Source organism: Homo sapiens, chromosome 1, assembly GCF_000001405.40.
Source record: "Homo sapiens chromosome 1, GRCh38.p14 Primary Assembly".
NCBI classification, from domain to species: domain Eukaryota; kingdom Metazoa; phylum Chordata; class Mammalia; order Primates; family Hominidae; genus Homo; species Homo sapiens.
In genome coordinates, this window is record NC_000001.11 from 202,765,123 (window position 1) to 202,778,538 (window position 13,416).

Here is a 13,416-nt window from a genome sequence, read left to right on the forward strand (position 1 = left end):
ACTCCATTAGCCTCTAAGAGTTTGCTGACCTATTCCAAGGTCTGTCAGTATTTACAGAAAATTTTGCTTCCACAATAATTTTCCATAAATTATTTTAATAAACTATTATTATAAACTACACACTTCTAACATCACTAAACTATTAAGGGCTCCTTCCTCATTGAGGGTATAGAAGCCAATCTCAGTTTCTATTATTTCTTAAAGTGCTGATACTTATTGGTAAAGCAAATAAAACCATTTTTTGTGGTAATACTGAAGTATCTGTGGAACTGTGCTTTCTCACTTTGCCTGTGTTTATTCATACATTTTAATGATGTCCACTGCTAAAAGAGTTTATTCCATGGGCAATATCATTACTATCAGGTGTCATCAAGGCAGATGTAGGCATCCACAGCACTGGGGCATTTCTTATATACACATGTATAAGATCAAGAATATGCTCAAGAAAGAACTGATTCATAGATTAATTTACTTTAAACATGCTTATGGGCTTCAAATAACCATATTTTCCTATTCTGGGCAGTCTCCTTCATTCAGAAAAAGTGAATCACTAAATTTTTTTCCTATCTCCAACTTACCAAAGTGAAAAACTATTCTCTTATTTATCTATTTCTTCAGAAAACAAAATGGCTGATTTTTTTCATTTTTGATAATTATTGAAAACCAGTTACTGATTTAGTATGATTAATGCAATATGAGGCTTCCCAGCTCTAAACAGTTCCCTATATATTATCTCTGAGTCCTAAAACTCACATATCCATCAGGCTAGGCAGGAATCCAAAACCTTCATACCTCTGGTATGGGAACGAGATCACTAGAAAAATACTCTTCTTCCTTTCCCAGGGAAAGCTTCTCAGAGCAGAAAAATCTTAAAGCAAATAATCCTTCTCTAGCCTGGACAACACAGTGAGACCTTGTCTTTATTAAAAATTTTTTTTTAATTAGCTAGGCATGCATGGCATGCATCTGTAGTTCCAGCTACTTGGGAGGCTGAGGTGGCAGCTATCACCTGAGCCTGGGAGTTCAAAGTTGCAGTAAGCTATGATCATGCCACTGCACTCCAGTCTAGGTGAAAGAGCGAGACCACCTATAAAAGGAAGAGGCTGGGTGAGATGGCTCACGCCTGTAATCCCAGCACTTTGGGAGGCCAAGATGGGTGGATCACGAGGTCAGGAGATCGAGACCATCCTGGCTAACACGGTGAAATCGGTCTCTACTAAAAATACAAACCAAATTAGCCGGGCGTGGTGGCACACGCCTGTAGTCCCACCTACTTGGGAGGCTGAGGCAGAAGAATTGCTGGAATCTAGGAGGCGGAGGTTGCAGTGAGCCAAGATCGCGCCACTGCACTCCAGCCTGGGCAACACAGCGAGACTCTGTCTCTAAAAAAAAAAAAAGAAGTCTGAGAAAAGTGGCTTTAACTGTCTTCTAACCACTCTGTTTAAAAAAACTCCTAATCTTCATGTTTTCTAGCCTTAATCTCCATTAAACAACGCCAATTTTGTGAGGGTAATGGGCAATCCAAGTAGGAACACAGGAACACCAATTCTTCTAAGGCCTTGACTGGTAATAAGCGGCTGTCTGTCCAGGCAGCATAAATTTAGAAAGACTTATTCGATTCCTTACCCCTTTGATGGTACAATTCACCCAAGTGTAAAAGCTGGAATACAAACAGCATCCCTTTGTGAGATTAACAAGGTTCAAAACTACAAAGAGCACACACATGAGAGAAATCCAGTGCCAGACAGCCATTGGTATTAGGGCTTGAGAATTCCTTTTAAATTAACCTCATGAGGCTCTTACCTCTGCTCTCATGCGTTTTGCTCGTCGGGCTGGGGGGCACGTTTCCGAAGGCTGCACAGACTGCCTCTGGGGAATATCATGGGGTTTGTACTCCTTGTCCTTAGTGTCTGTGGTCAGGTTTGGCTTCTGCAAACACTAGAAATAACAACTGTACTGATAAATTCCCTCCTTTTTTTTTTCACATCATAAGTTTATTGACAAACATATCTAGCATGCCACATGAGTTCGAGTTTGATCTACTTCCAGAGGCTGCACCTCTTAAAATACTCTTCATATCTGTTAAATGGAGGAACTGAAACACCCTTATGTTTTAAGCAGTTGGTGTCTTACTACAAGGAAGGGTATAGCAAACGCAGATCCAAAGTACAAACACATCTTAGCTAGTAACGACCACTTGTTTTCCACTGAAAATGGCAAATTCTTCCCAGGGCCCTCCTCACAGTGGCTCCTACGGACCACAGAGGCTGTGAACCTCCGGATGCTCTAGCCCAACATAGCGCTGCTGGAAGCTCTGCGAAAGGTGCAGAGACCGAGGAAGGATGAAATGGCGGCACCTCACCAAGACCTTTTTTTCACGACCTTGTTCCCCGGTGTGCAAGGACTGAAAGGATTCCCTCCTTTTTTAATCTTAGAGAGTTTCACTGGATTTTTGTAAGGTACATTTTACAACTATTTATGTAGACAACAGGCCTACAATTTTTAAAAATCTAAATAAAAATAAAGACAAGTCTGCAGTTACCAACCACATACATACATCTATACAGGTTTAAAACATTAAAAAAAATTTTAACAGGTGGTGTTGCTTTGATTTTTCATTGCTGACATCATCAGGTTACAACAGGCCATAACAGTCTCAAGGCATTCCCAATGAACCACTTGGAGTTATTTGTGCTTGCGACTGTCAGTTAATGGAAGGTCCATATTGTTAGAAAGGCCCCTTATAAGCTCCCAAAACAATTTTCCATATTAAAAATCTCATTTTTAACAAGTGTTCGGAATAAAAAAAAATAAGGAATCCAATATGTTTTCTAGATTTTACAACTGTATAGTTTCAGATATAACTAGCAAAGTTATCATCCAAAGATATCACCTGAATTGAGAAAACAGGTCATTTGACTAAAGTAGTCTTCCTCACTAGGGTTTCCATTTACCACAGTATATCCCTACAAAGTCTAACTCGCAAGGCAAAGATCAACGGGTAGCCCACAGCAATAACTTTGGTTCTGATCAGAAATGCATCTCTTCTTTGGTTTTTCTTTTTAGTTTTATTCTAAGCTGGCTAAAGGAGGGTATTTAATGCCAATATAACATTAACACGACAAAATATTGCCACCGAAGCTAATATGAATTTCAGGTAAGCACTACTTTTTCATAACAGGACCCAGGAACATCACGAAAAACCTTTGTAAAAGTAAGTTCCAAAAGTAACCCTCTAGGGTGTGTTATAGCAGCTATATCTGGAATGAGATACGTGGAAATAACAACCTTCCTGAAGCACTAACACTATGAGCATAGTTACTACCATAGAATCTCACTAATGAGATTCGCCCCTTTCCCCCTCACATTTGCAGAAATACAGAGACTGGGCGAAGAACAAAATAAAGTACAAAGCAACACAATGATAAAATTTATTTCTAATAGTTAAGAAATATGATATACTATTAAAAACTGACTCATTACTTGTTAACAAGTAATAAATCTACCACTGGTAATAGCGCTCTATAAATATTAAACATTCTGCTCATTCTACTTAAACCTACATATTGATTTGATCCAGAAAAGTTAACTATTCTTTTTTTTTTTTTTTTTGAGATGGAGTTTCGCTCTTGTTGCCCAGGCTGGAGTGCAAAGGTGCAATCTCGGCTCACTGCAACCTCCACCTCCCAGGTTCAAGCAATTCTCCTGCCTCAGCCTCCCAAGTAGCTGGGATTACAGGCATGCACCACCACGCCCGGCTGATTTTGTATTTTTAGTAGAGACGGGGTTTCTCCATGTTGAGGCTGGTCTCAAACTCCTGACCTCAGGTGATCAGCCCGCCTCAGCCTCCCAAAGTGCTGGGATTACAGGTGTGAGCCACTGCACCCGGCCTACGGCCTATTATATTCTTTTTTTTTCTTTTTTTTTTTTTTGAGACAGAGTCTCGCTTTGTCGCCCAGGCTGCAGTGCAGTGGCGCCATCTTGGCTCACTGCAAGCTCCACCTCCTGGGTTCACGCCATTCTCCTACCTCAGCCTCCCAAGTAGCTGGGACTACAGGCACCTGCCACCACACCCAGCTATTTTTTTGTATTTTTAGTAGAGACAGGGTTTCACCGTGTTATCCAGGATGGTCTCAATCTCCTGACCTCGTGATCCACCTGCCTCAGCCTCCCAAAGTGCTGGGATTACAGGCGTGAGCCACTGCGCCCGGCCGCCTGGCCTATTATATTCTTAATAGTTAAGCACTTACATTCTGAAAAAAGTTGGTCAGGTGCAGTGGCTCAAGCCTGTAATCCCAGCACTTTGGGAGGCCAAGGCAGGTAGATCACTTGAGGTCAGGAGTTCGAAACCAGCTTGGCCAACATACTGAAACCCCGTCCTTACTAAAAGTACAAAAATTAGCCAATGTGGTGATGCATGCCTGTAATCCCACCTACTCGGGACACTGAGGCAGGAGAATCGCTTGAACCAGGGTGGCGGATGTTGCAATGAGCCGAGATCATGCCACTGCACTCCAGCCTGGGTGACACAGCAAGACTCTGTCTCAAAAAAAAAAAAAAAAAAAAAAAAAAAATTATGAGACAAATTAAACACCCAACAATTGAGAGAAAAAAATATTCTGTTTTTTGAAAAAATTTGTATAGAACATTGCCTTCTATTCTATAACAAGTCCTCAGTTGAGCATTTAGAGTATGTTTAATGAAAGCATGCAGAGGGGAATAAAACCTGTTCATCATCTAAATTAATCCCCTTTATGTATCCAATGTACTTTCTATTTGACACACAAAAGTATGAGTGATTAGGAAAATACTAATTGAGCTGAATGACATAAATTGTATTAAGTGGATGATCACAAATTCAGATGCTATATACGTGGTTCCTATCTCCTACTAGTTAGTCTCAATGGTTCCATCATCTATGGTCAGCTTGGTTCTGTAAGGACTTTGCAGATCTAAGAAAATCATGCCCTGTAGTTTTTTAGAATAAATATGAAGAGCTTTATTATTTTGTTCCAAACCACAATTAAAAATACACACGATATGGTTTTATATCTAATGTTATTAACATACAGACGCTAATTTTAACCTTTACTTGAGAAACCAGGACTTACAGGTGATTAATATCATCATCATGCCATAATCACATCATCCCAAAGACAGAGCAATCCCTTAAAACATTTAGAAAACATGATGATGCAAGATTGAGGCCTCTGTTCCACTGGAACAGTGCATCAACTTTTCTCAAGCTTCCTGAAATTTAACTTACACCCTACTTCACCCTTTTGCAATAATTCCTTTACTGTACACCTCTGTTTTTCTTAAGTATATGTTCTTCAATTCTTCTCTCCCTAATAACTATTTCAAAAATCAGAAATAGGTGTAAAAATTTACATACAAGGAATATTCATCATAGTATTATAATAAAAAACTAGAACTGACCTAAACATTCTACAATAGAAGACATCAAAATAAAGTCTGGCTATAAAAAACGGATTGCCGCAGTCATTAGAAATTGCATTTTCAAAAACTATTCAATGATACAGCAAATGCTCATATGATTAGTAAAAAAACCTAAGATGCAATGATGTATATGAACAGTACACTTGAATTTGTGAATGTATGCATAAAAATAGCCGTGAGAGAAGTAACAGGTGGAAGGATCAGGAGTGATTTTATTTTTGCCATACTTTCCTATGTTTTTAAACTTTCTACAAAGAATGTGTATCACTTCCTAAAACATACTTGGCACAGAGTAAGTCCCTCACAAATATCTACCTATATTGTAGATGCAATGTTTACAAAAGGGTACCTTTAAATGCTTATTCCTTTCAGACTCCTTGATTGTATAAATACTTAAGTGCTTTTTAACCATAAAACTACATTGCCTTTTTAAGTATATAAGTGACATGTTTCTAAAATGTTACAACCCACAAAGCATCATTAAAGGGACTCTCTCTCCCTTTATTCACTATCACTTCCGTACTTAGGAAGAGTTCAAGAAGAGAAAATTAATCTACTATGGGCAACTGTATCTAGATCTGACTATAAGAGGCAAAAAGGTTCCACATTCAACATTCTATTTTTTATTTTTTATGTTTGTTTATTTATTTATTTTTTGAGACAGTCTCATTCTGAGTCTCATTCTGTCACCCAGGCTGGAGTGCAATGGCACGATCTCGGCTCATTGCAACCTCTGCCTCCCGGGTTCAAGCAATTCTCCTGCCTCAGCCTCCCAAGTAGCTGAGATTACAAGTGCCTGCCACCACATCCAGCTAATTTTTTTTTTTTTTGTATTTTTAGTAAATGCGGGGTTTTGCCATGTTGGCCAGCCAGATCTCGAACTCCTGACCTCGAACTCCTGACCTCTGGGGATCCACCTGCCTCAGCCTCCCAAAGTGCTGGGATTATAGGCATGAGCCACCGCACCCAGCCTATTTTTTATTTTTTTAAGTTTTTGTTTATTTTATTTATTTTTTTTGAGAAGAGTCTTGCTCTGTCACCCAGGCTGGAGTGCAGTGGCACAATCTCAGCTCACTGCAACCTCTGCCTCCTGGGTTCAAGTGATTCTCCTGCCCCAGCCTCCCAAGTAGCTGGGACTACAGGCACGCACCACCACGCTCAGCTAATTTACGTATTTTTAGTGGAGACAGGGTTTCACCATGTTGGCCAGGATGGTCTCCATCTCTTGACCTCATGATCCACCCACCTTGGCCTCCCAAAGTGCTGGGATTACAGGCGTGAGCCATCGCGCCCGGCTCACATTCAACATTCTAAACAATTTCATCCATGGGCTCACTAAACATTCATATAATGTATTAAAAAAAAAAGTTTTGAATGTCAGATTGGCTACTTTCTTCTAGGCTAAAAAGTGTTCACCTGGAATCAATAAGGGAGAGAGGGAAGAAAAAATCTACTGGATTTAAGCATTACAGATGGTGTGTTTGTGTGTGTATAGTATTAGGACAGGACTTTGGTTAGTGATTTACCCCTCAAAAACTATGTTATTCTCTTCCTACCTCTCTACAGCACAGAAAACAATTCTTAAAGTTATAGGACTCACTGCTGTAGTCCTAAAATAACTCAAAGGGTGTGAATGGATAATGACACCCCTCTTCTTTCTACCAAGGCCTGGAAATAAATGGGAAGCTTTTACAGTACTGTTTTACCTAAAAGTTTTTAAGTGAATAATTTCACAAATACCATTTTGTCAGAAATGAACTTGGCTACATAGGAATTACTAGAAGAGGAACCCGTTAGCTATGTAGCATTATAAAATCCCCTTTTACCATATCAACATTCTGACAATCTCCTCAAAAATCTCAGCTGGCAGAAGAGAACAGGTAGGCAAGTTATTTCACAGCTTATACCTTCATATGACAGCCAGGAATACTTTAGCTACTTTAAATTTAAAGAGAATGCAAAGTTGTAACAAGTAGATAATAATCAACTCCTCAGCTTTGGACAGTAAAAAAATTTCCTCCACAATCTTACTCATTCCAGAAACAAACTTCTAAGTATAGCTGCTCTCAAAGCAGAACAAAAACACTAGAGGAAAAAACACAAAACAAGGTCTTTTTTTTTTTTTCAGACGGAGTCTCAGAGTCTCGCTCTTTGCCCAGGCTTGAGTGAAGTGGCACCATCTCGGCTCACTGCAACCTCCACCTTCCGGGTTCAAGCGGTTCTCCTGCCTCAGCCTCCCTAGTAGCTGGGATTACAGGCACACGCCACCATGCCCAGCAAATTTTTGTATTTTTAGTAGAGACGAGGTTTCGCCATGTTGGCCAGGCTGGTCTCAAACTCCTGTCCTCAGGTGATTCACCTGCCTTGGCCTCCCAAAGTGTTGGGATTACAGGAGTGAGCCACCGCGCCCCACCAAAATAAGGTCTTCTAAAACAAGGTCTTCCAAACACAATCAAGGCTTTTTCATTTCCCTGAAAAGACAATGTACCAATAAGTAGTAAGATAAAACAGGTTAAGGCTAGCCCCCAAACTTACCCTTAGGCTGTCTCCGGACAGGAATAAGTTGTAGGGGTTGAGAATTCGTTCATAATGCCCTCTGATATGTGAGCCCACTGCTTTGCCAGGAGCAAACCCCATCTTGGTAGCAATTTTGGTCCATTTTCTATCCTTGCAAACAACTGCAAATCCACCTTCTTCTGCAACTAACTGTTAAAATAGCAAAATTAGAAACAACTATATGGAAGTCACTTCTAATCACATCTAAGTATGACTCCAAGGGGAAAATGTTCTTGGCTATGGTTATCTTTTAAAAACATGTTTTGCCAATCATATATATATACACACACACACATATATATACACACACACTATTAATTTTAAGTTAGAAATTTTCAACATCTCTCTTGACAACATGGTCCATAAACATTTTGTCCCCTCTAAGCTACTTTTCACATCCCCAAAGCAATCATGTGGAAAGAACCAGGTTACCTAAAACTAAATCTCTACCAAAGAAGGGACTGTAATACTTGGTCTTATTCTGGGCTCTTAAATAAGCCTCCAAAAACTAAAGACTAGGATGCATGCCAGCATGTTTGATGGAAAGAATGTAAATTTCAGAATCAAATGGGCCTGGTATTGAATTATGGCTCAGCTTCTTTTTTTTTTTTTTTCTGAGATGGAGTTTCTCTCTTGTTGCCCAGCCCGCAGTGCAATGGCGCAATCTCGGCTCACTGCAACCTCCGCCTCCTGGATTCAGGCGATTTTCCTGCCTCAGCCTCCCGAGTAGCTGGGATTACAGGCATGTGCCACCACACCCAGCTAATTTTGTATTTTTAGTAGAGACGGGGTTTCGACATGTTGGTCAGGCTGGTCTTGAACTCCTGACCTCAGGTGATCCACCCACCTCGACCTCCCAAAATGCTGGGATTACAGGCATGAGCCACCACGCCCGGCCATGGCTCAGCATTTTTTTACCTTTTTATCACCCTGAGCCTCAGTTTCCTTATCTGTAATAAAAAGAAATAGCTTGCAGAATTTTTGTAAAGTGTGAAAATGAGAAAAACAGGTGGAAGCAAAATATTCCACAAGGCTTCAAGACCTGATGATCCTCATCACTCAACTGACTTGAGAATCTCATTTCACACATCTCAAAAAGTAAGTTTATTTGTTCTTTCTTTTTTGAGACAGGGTCTCGCTCAGTTACCCAGGCTGGAGTGCAGTGGTGCAATCACAGCTCACTGCAGCCTCCACCTCCTGGGCTCAAGTGATCCTCCCTCCTTAGCCACCCAAATAGCTGGTACTACAGGGCCCGTGCCACCATGCCTAATTTCCAAATTTTTTGTAAACACAGGGTTTCCTTATGTTACCCAGGCTGGTCTCAAGCAATCCTCCTCCCTTGACCTCCCAAAGTGCTGAGATTACAGGTGCGAGCCACCTGGCTGAGCAATAAGTTCCTTTTTAAGGCAAAGAAGATCAAATTCATTCTGTCAGTAAGATTATAAAATAAGTAAGATGGTCATTAGCTCTTTACCTTATTAAGCTGAAATAAGTCCAAGATCTTCCTCTCCACATGTGGAATTTTCAGAGTACTTCCCTGTAACTCCCAGTACTTTGCAATCTGGTCCAAGAAATTCAATTTTACACGAGTTTGGGCCTAAAAGACAAAGAATTGAGTTTTCATCTCATTTAGCTTATTTTAAAGCTCCTATTACCTGCCATTATTTTCTTTCACAGAATATTTAAGTACAATACCACTTAAAAAAATTTTTTTTTAATTTAATGCTCTTTCAGCAAAATCATATAATACCACTTTCTAAATTCAGTGAGAAACGGCCAAAAATACACAAAATAAAGCTGGTTAAATAATTATACATGGCCGGCCGGGCACGGTGGCTCACGTCTGTAATCCCAGCACTTTGGGAGGCTGAGGCGAGCGAATCACAAGGTCGGGAGTTCGAGACCAGCCTGGCCAACATGATGAAACCCCCCATCTCTATTAACAAAAATCAGCCTAGTGTGGTGGCGCGTGCCTGTAATCCCAGCTACTCAGGAGGCTGAGGCAGGAGAATTGCTTGAACTCAGGAGGCAGAGGTTGCAGTAAGCTGAGATCACACCACTGTACTCCAGCCTGGATGAGACAGTAAGACTCTGTCTCAAAATAATAATAATTATACGACTGGGTGCAGTGGCTCATGGCTGTAATCCCAGCACTTTGGGAGGCCGAGACGGGTGAATCACGAGGTCAGGAGTTCGAGACCAGCCTGGGCAACATGGTGAAACTCCGTCTCTACTAAAAATACAAAAAATTAGCTGGGCGTAGTGGCAGGGGCCTGTAATCCCAGCTACTCAGGAGGCTGAGGCAGGAAAATCACTTGAACCTGGGAGGTGGAGGTTGCAGTGAGCAAAGATCATGCTACTGCACTCCAGCCCAGGTGACAGTGCAAGACTCTGTCTCAATAAAAAAGAAAAATAAAAAAATAATAATTATACATGGTCGGGTGTGGTAGCTCACACCTGTAATCCCAGCACTTTGGGAGGCCAAAATGGGCAGATCACTTGAGGCCAGGAGTTTGAGACCAGCCTGGCCAACATGGTGAAACCCCATCTCTACTAAAAATACAAAAATTAGCTGGATGTGGTGGTATACGTCTGTAATGCCAACTACTCAGGAGGCCGAGGCAGGAGAATCACTTGAACCTAAGAGGCAGAGGTTGCAGTGAGCTGAGATTGTGCCACTGCACTCCAGCCTTGGTGACAGAACAAGACTCTTGTCTCAAAAAAAAAAAAAAAAAAAAAAAATATATATATATATATATATATATAATATATACACACACATACATTAACTCAACAAAAATTTAATTCAGGCTGGGCATGGTGGCTCATGCCTGTAATCCCAACACTTTGGGAGGCCAAGGCAGGCAGATCACCTGAGGTCAGGATTTCAAGACCAGCCTGGCCAAAATGGTGAAACCCCATCTCTACTAAAAATACCAAAATTAGCCAGGCTTGGTGGCACACACCTGTAATCCCAGCTACTTGGGAGGCTGAGGCAGGAGAATGACTTGAACCCAGGAGGCAGAGGTTGCAGTGAACCAGGATAATGCTGCTGCACTCCACCCTGGGTGACAGAGCGGGACTCCATAACAAAAAAAGTAAAAATTTTAATTGACTTTTTTAAAAAATTTAATTCAGCCCCTACCACGTGACAGACAAAGAATTAAACACTCAGTAAACCTTCCTGTGATGTAAGCAGGCACTCTGAAAGGAACTTAATTAGTACTGTAAGCACAATTCCATATAAGTGTTTAAAATTATATGGCAAGTAAATATGCTTTTATATGCCCAGCTTTGGGAGGCAGAGGCAGGAGGATCGCTTCAGCCCAGGAGTTTGAGACCAGCCTGGGCAACATAGGGAGACCTCAACCCTACAACAAAAACACAATTCTGTGTGTGTGTATCTTCACATATGTAAATATATATATATATAAAATACAGGGTCTTGCTCTGTCGCCCAGGCTGGAGTGCAGAGTGCAGTGGCACAACCATGGCTCACTACAGTCTTGACCTCCCAGGCTGAAGCAATCCACCCACCTCAGCCTCCCGAGTAGCTGGAACTACAGGCACACACCATCACACGTGGCTAATTTTTTAAACTATGTTTTAGCAGAGACAGGGTCCCGCTATGTTGCCCAGGCCAACCCTCCTGCCCCAGCCTCCCAAAGTGCTGAGATTACAAGTGTGAGCCACCATGCCTAGCCAATTCGATATTTTAAAGACCTGTTCTCTACAGAAAGAAATGTTCTTATTTGCTCAAATACAAATCTAAAAACAGATTTACAATGGTGATTCTGTAACAATTTTAATATATCGTAATAATTTCAAAGACGGTCCCCCTGGAATACAGGCAAACAGAACAATAGTGAAGACATTACCTCCAATTCATTCAGTCTCTGGATACGTGGCGTAAAATGAAGTTTATCAACATCACATGCAAATGGTGGCTGCCAATCCTAGGAGAAAGCAAAGGCTCTTATTAGAATAACTTATAAGCATTTGACATTCAAAAATTTGTTTTAAAATTAAAACCCAGGTTAGGTAAATCTTATTCTAACCAATCAAACAAAATAGAACACAGAGTAGTGGTTTCTCAACCTTTTGTCCATGAGAGCAGCAAAATATGTATGAACACCCTTTCCCAAATAAATGATATATCACATATACACCTCTCCCCACAAACCTTCCCACTGAGCAATGTCATTGAGCCTGTAAAAAAAAAAAAAAAAAAAACACTCATTTAGGCAAAAGACACTTTGACTTCTGTATTACCATAGACATACCTCATTTTTTATATAACAGCTATATGTCTATAACTTTAAAAAACACATTTAACCTTCCAGTCACATTAACTTTTTTAATTTTTTTTTTTTGAGATAAGGTTTCACTCTGTTGCCCAGGCTTAAGTGCAGTGGTGTGATCACAGCTGGTGGAAACCTCTGCCTCCTGAGCTCAAGCGATCTTCCACCTCAGCCTCCCAAGTATCTGGGACCACAGGTGAACACTACCACACTCAGCTAATTGTTTAAGGTTTTTTTTAGAGACGAGGTGTAGGTACATGTATTGCCCAGATCAGTCTCGAACTCTACAGCTCCAATGATCCTCCCACCTTTGCCTCCCAAAGTGCTGAGATTACAAGTGTGAGCCACTGAGCCTGGCCCACCTTAACTTTTCTTATTAAATTGAGGGTAAATTCTACAGTGGTGTCAGGGGGAGAAAAACTGACATCCAAATCCAATTTTAAAAGTCATCCTTGGCCGGGCAAGGTGGCTCAACCTGTAATCCTAGCACTTTGGGAGGCCAAGGAGGGTGGATCACCTGAGGTCAGGAGTTCAAGACCAGCCTGACCAACATGGTGAAACCCTGTCTCTACTAAAACTACAAAAATTAGCCAGATGGGGTGGCAGGCGCCTGTAGTCCCAGCTACTCAGGAGGCTGAGACAGGAGAATCGCTGGAACACAAGAGGCAGAGGTTGCAGTGAGCCAAGATCGCGCCATTGCACTCCAACCTGGGCAACAGAGCAAGACTTCACCTCAAAAAAAAAAAAATTTGTCCTTAATATGTATACTCGTATAGACAACTGTTCTCTAGAGGAGAATTTTCCTATCATGGAAGAACTGCCATCATGAGGAAGTAATCAGACAATTAAATATATATATATACACACACACACATATATGTATGAATTGTTACCTACGAAGGGAGAAAACTGGAAATGAATGTCTACAACAAGAGAACAGCTAAAGGTATAAAAATGTGTTAATAGGTTTCAGTCTGGGATAATGATGAAAGGGTCTGGAGGTAGACAATGGTAATGGCTGTACAGCAATGTAAATGTACCCAATGCCACTGAACTGTATCCTTAAAAATGGTTACAAAGGCAAAAATTTAATGTTATG

At 40.9% G+C, this 13,416-nt stretch overlaps 1 protein-coding gene and 1 pseudogene across 6 annotated transcripts in view; both read right to left on the reverse strand.

Annotated features, from left to right (window-relative positions):
* KDM5B (lysine demethylase 5B) overlaps positions 1 to 13,416 on the reverse strand; it is an 83,927-nt gene that overhangs the window by 40,628 nt on the left and 29,883 nt on the right. For 3 of the 6 annotated variants that reach the window (NM_001314042.2, XM_011509091.3, XM_011509090.4), the window contains exons 2-6: positions 11,895 to 11,972; positions 9,491 to 9,613; positions 7,996 to 8,166; positions 1,804 to 1,938; positions 1,275 to 1,382 (exon numbers count right to left, since the gene is read on the reverse strand). In NM_001314042.2, coding sequence (NP_001300971.1) covers positions 1,275 to 1,382; positions 1,804 to 1,938; positions 7,996 to 8,166; positions 9,491 to 9,613; positions 11,895 to 11,972 — 615 coding nt within the window. The remainder of the gene's footprint in view (positions 1 to 1,274; positions 1,383 to 1,803; positions 1,939 to 7,995; positions 8,167 to 9,490; positions 9,614 to 11,894; positions 11,973 to 13,416) is intronic. The other 3 variants (NM_001399817.1, NM_006618.5, NM_001347591.2) reach the window with 2 other exon arrangements.
* Positions 1,981 to 2,410, reverse strand: COX7CP2 (COX7C pseudogene 2; annotated as a pseudogene).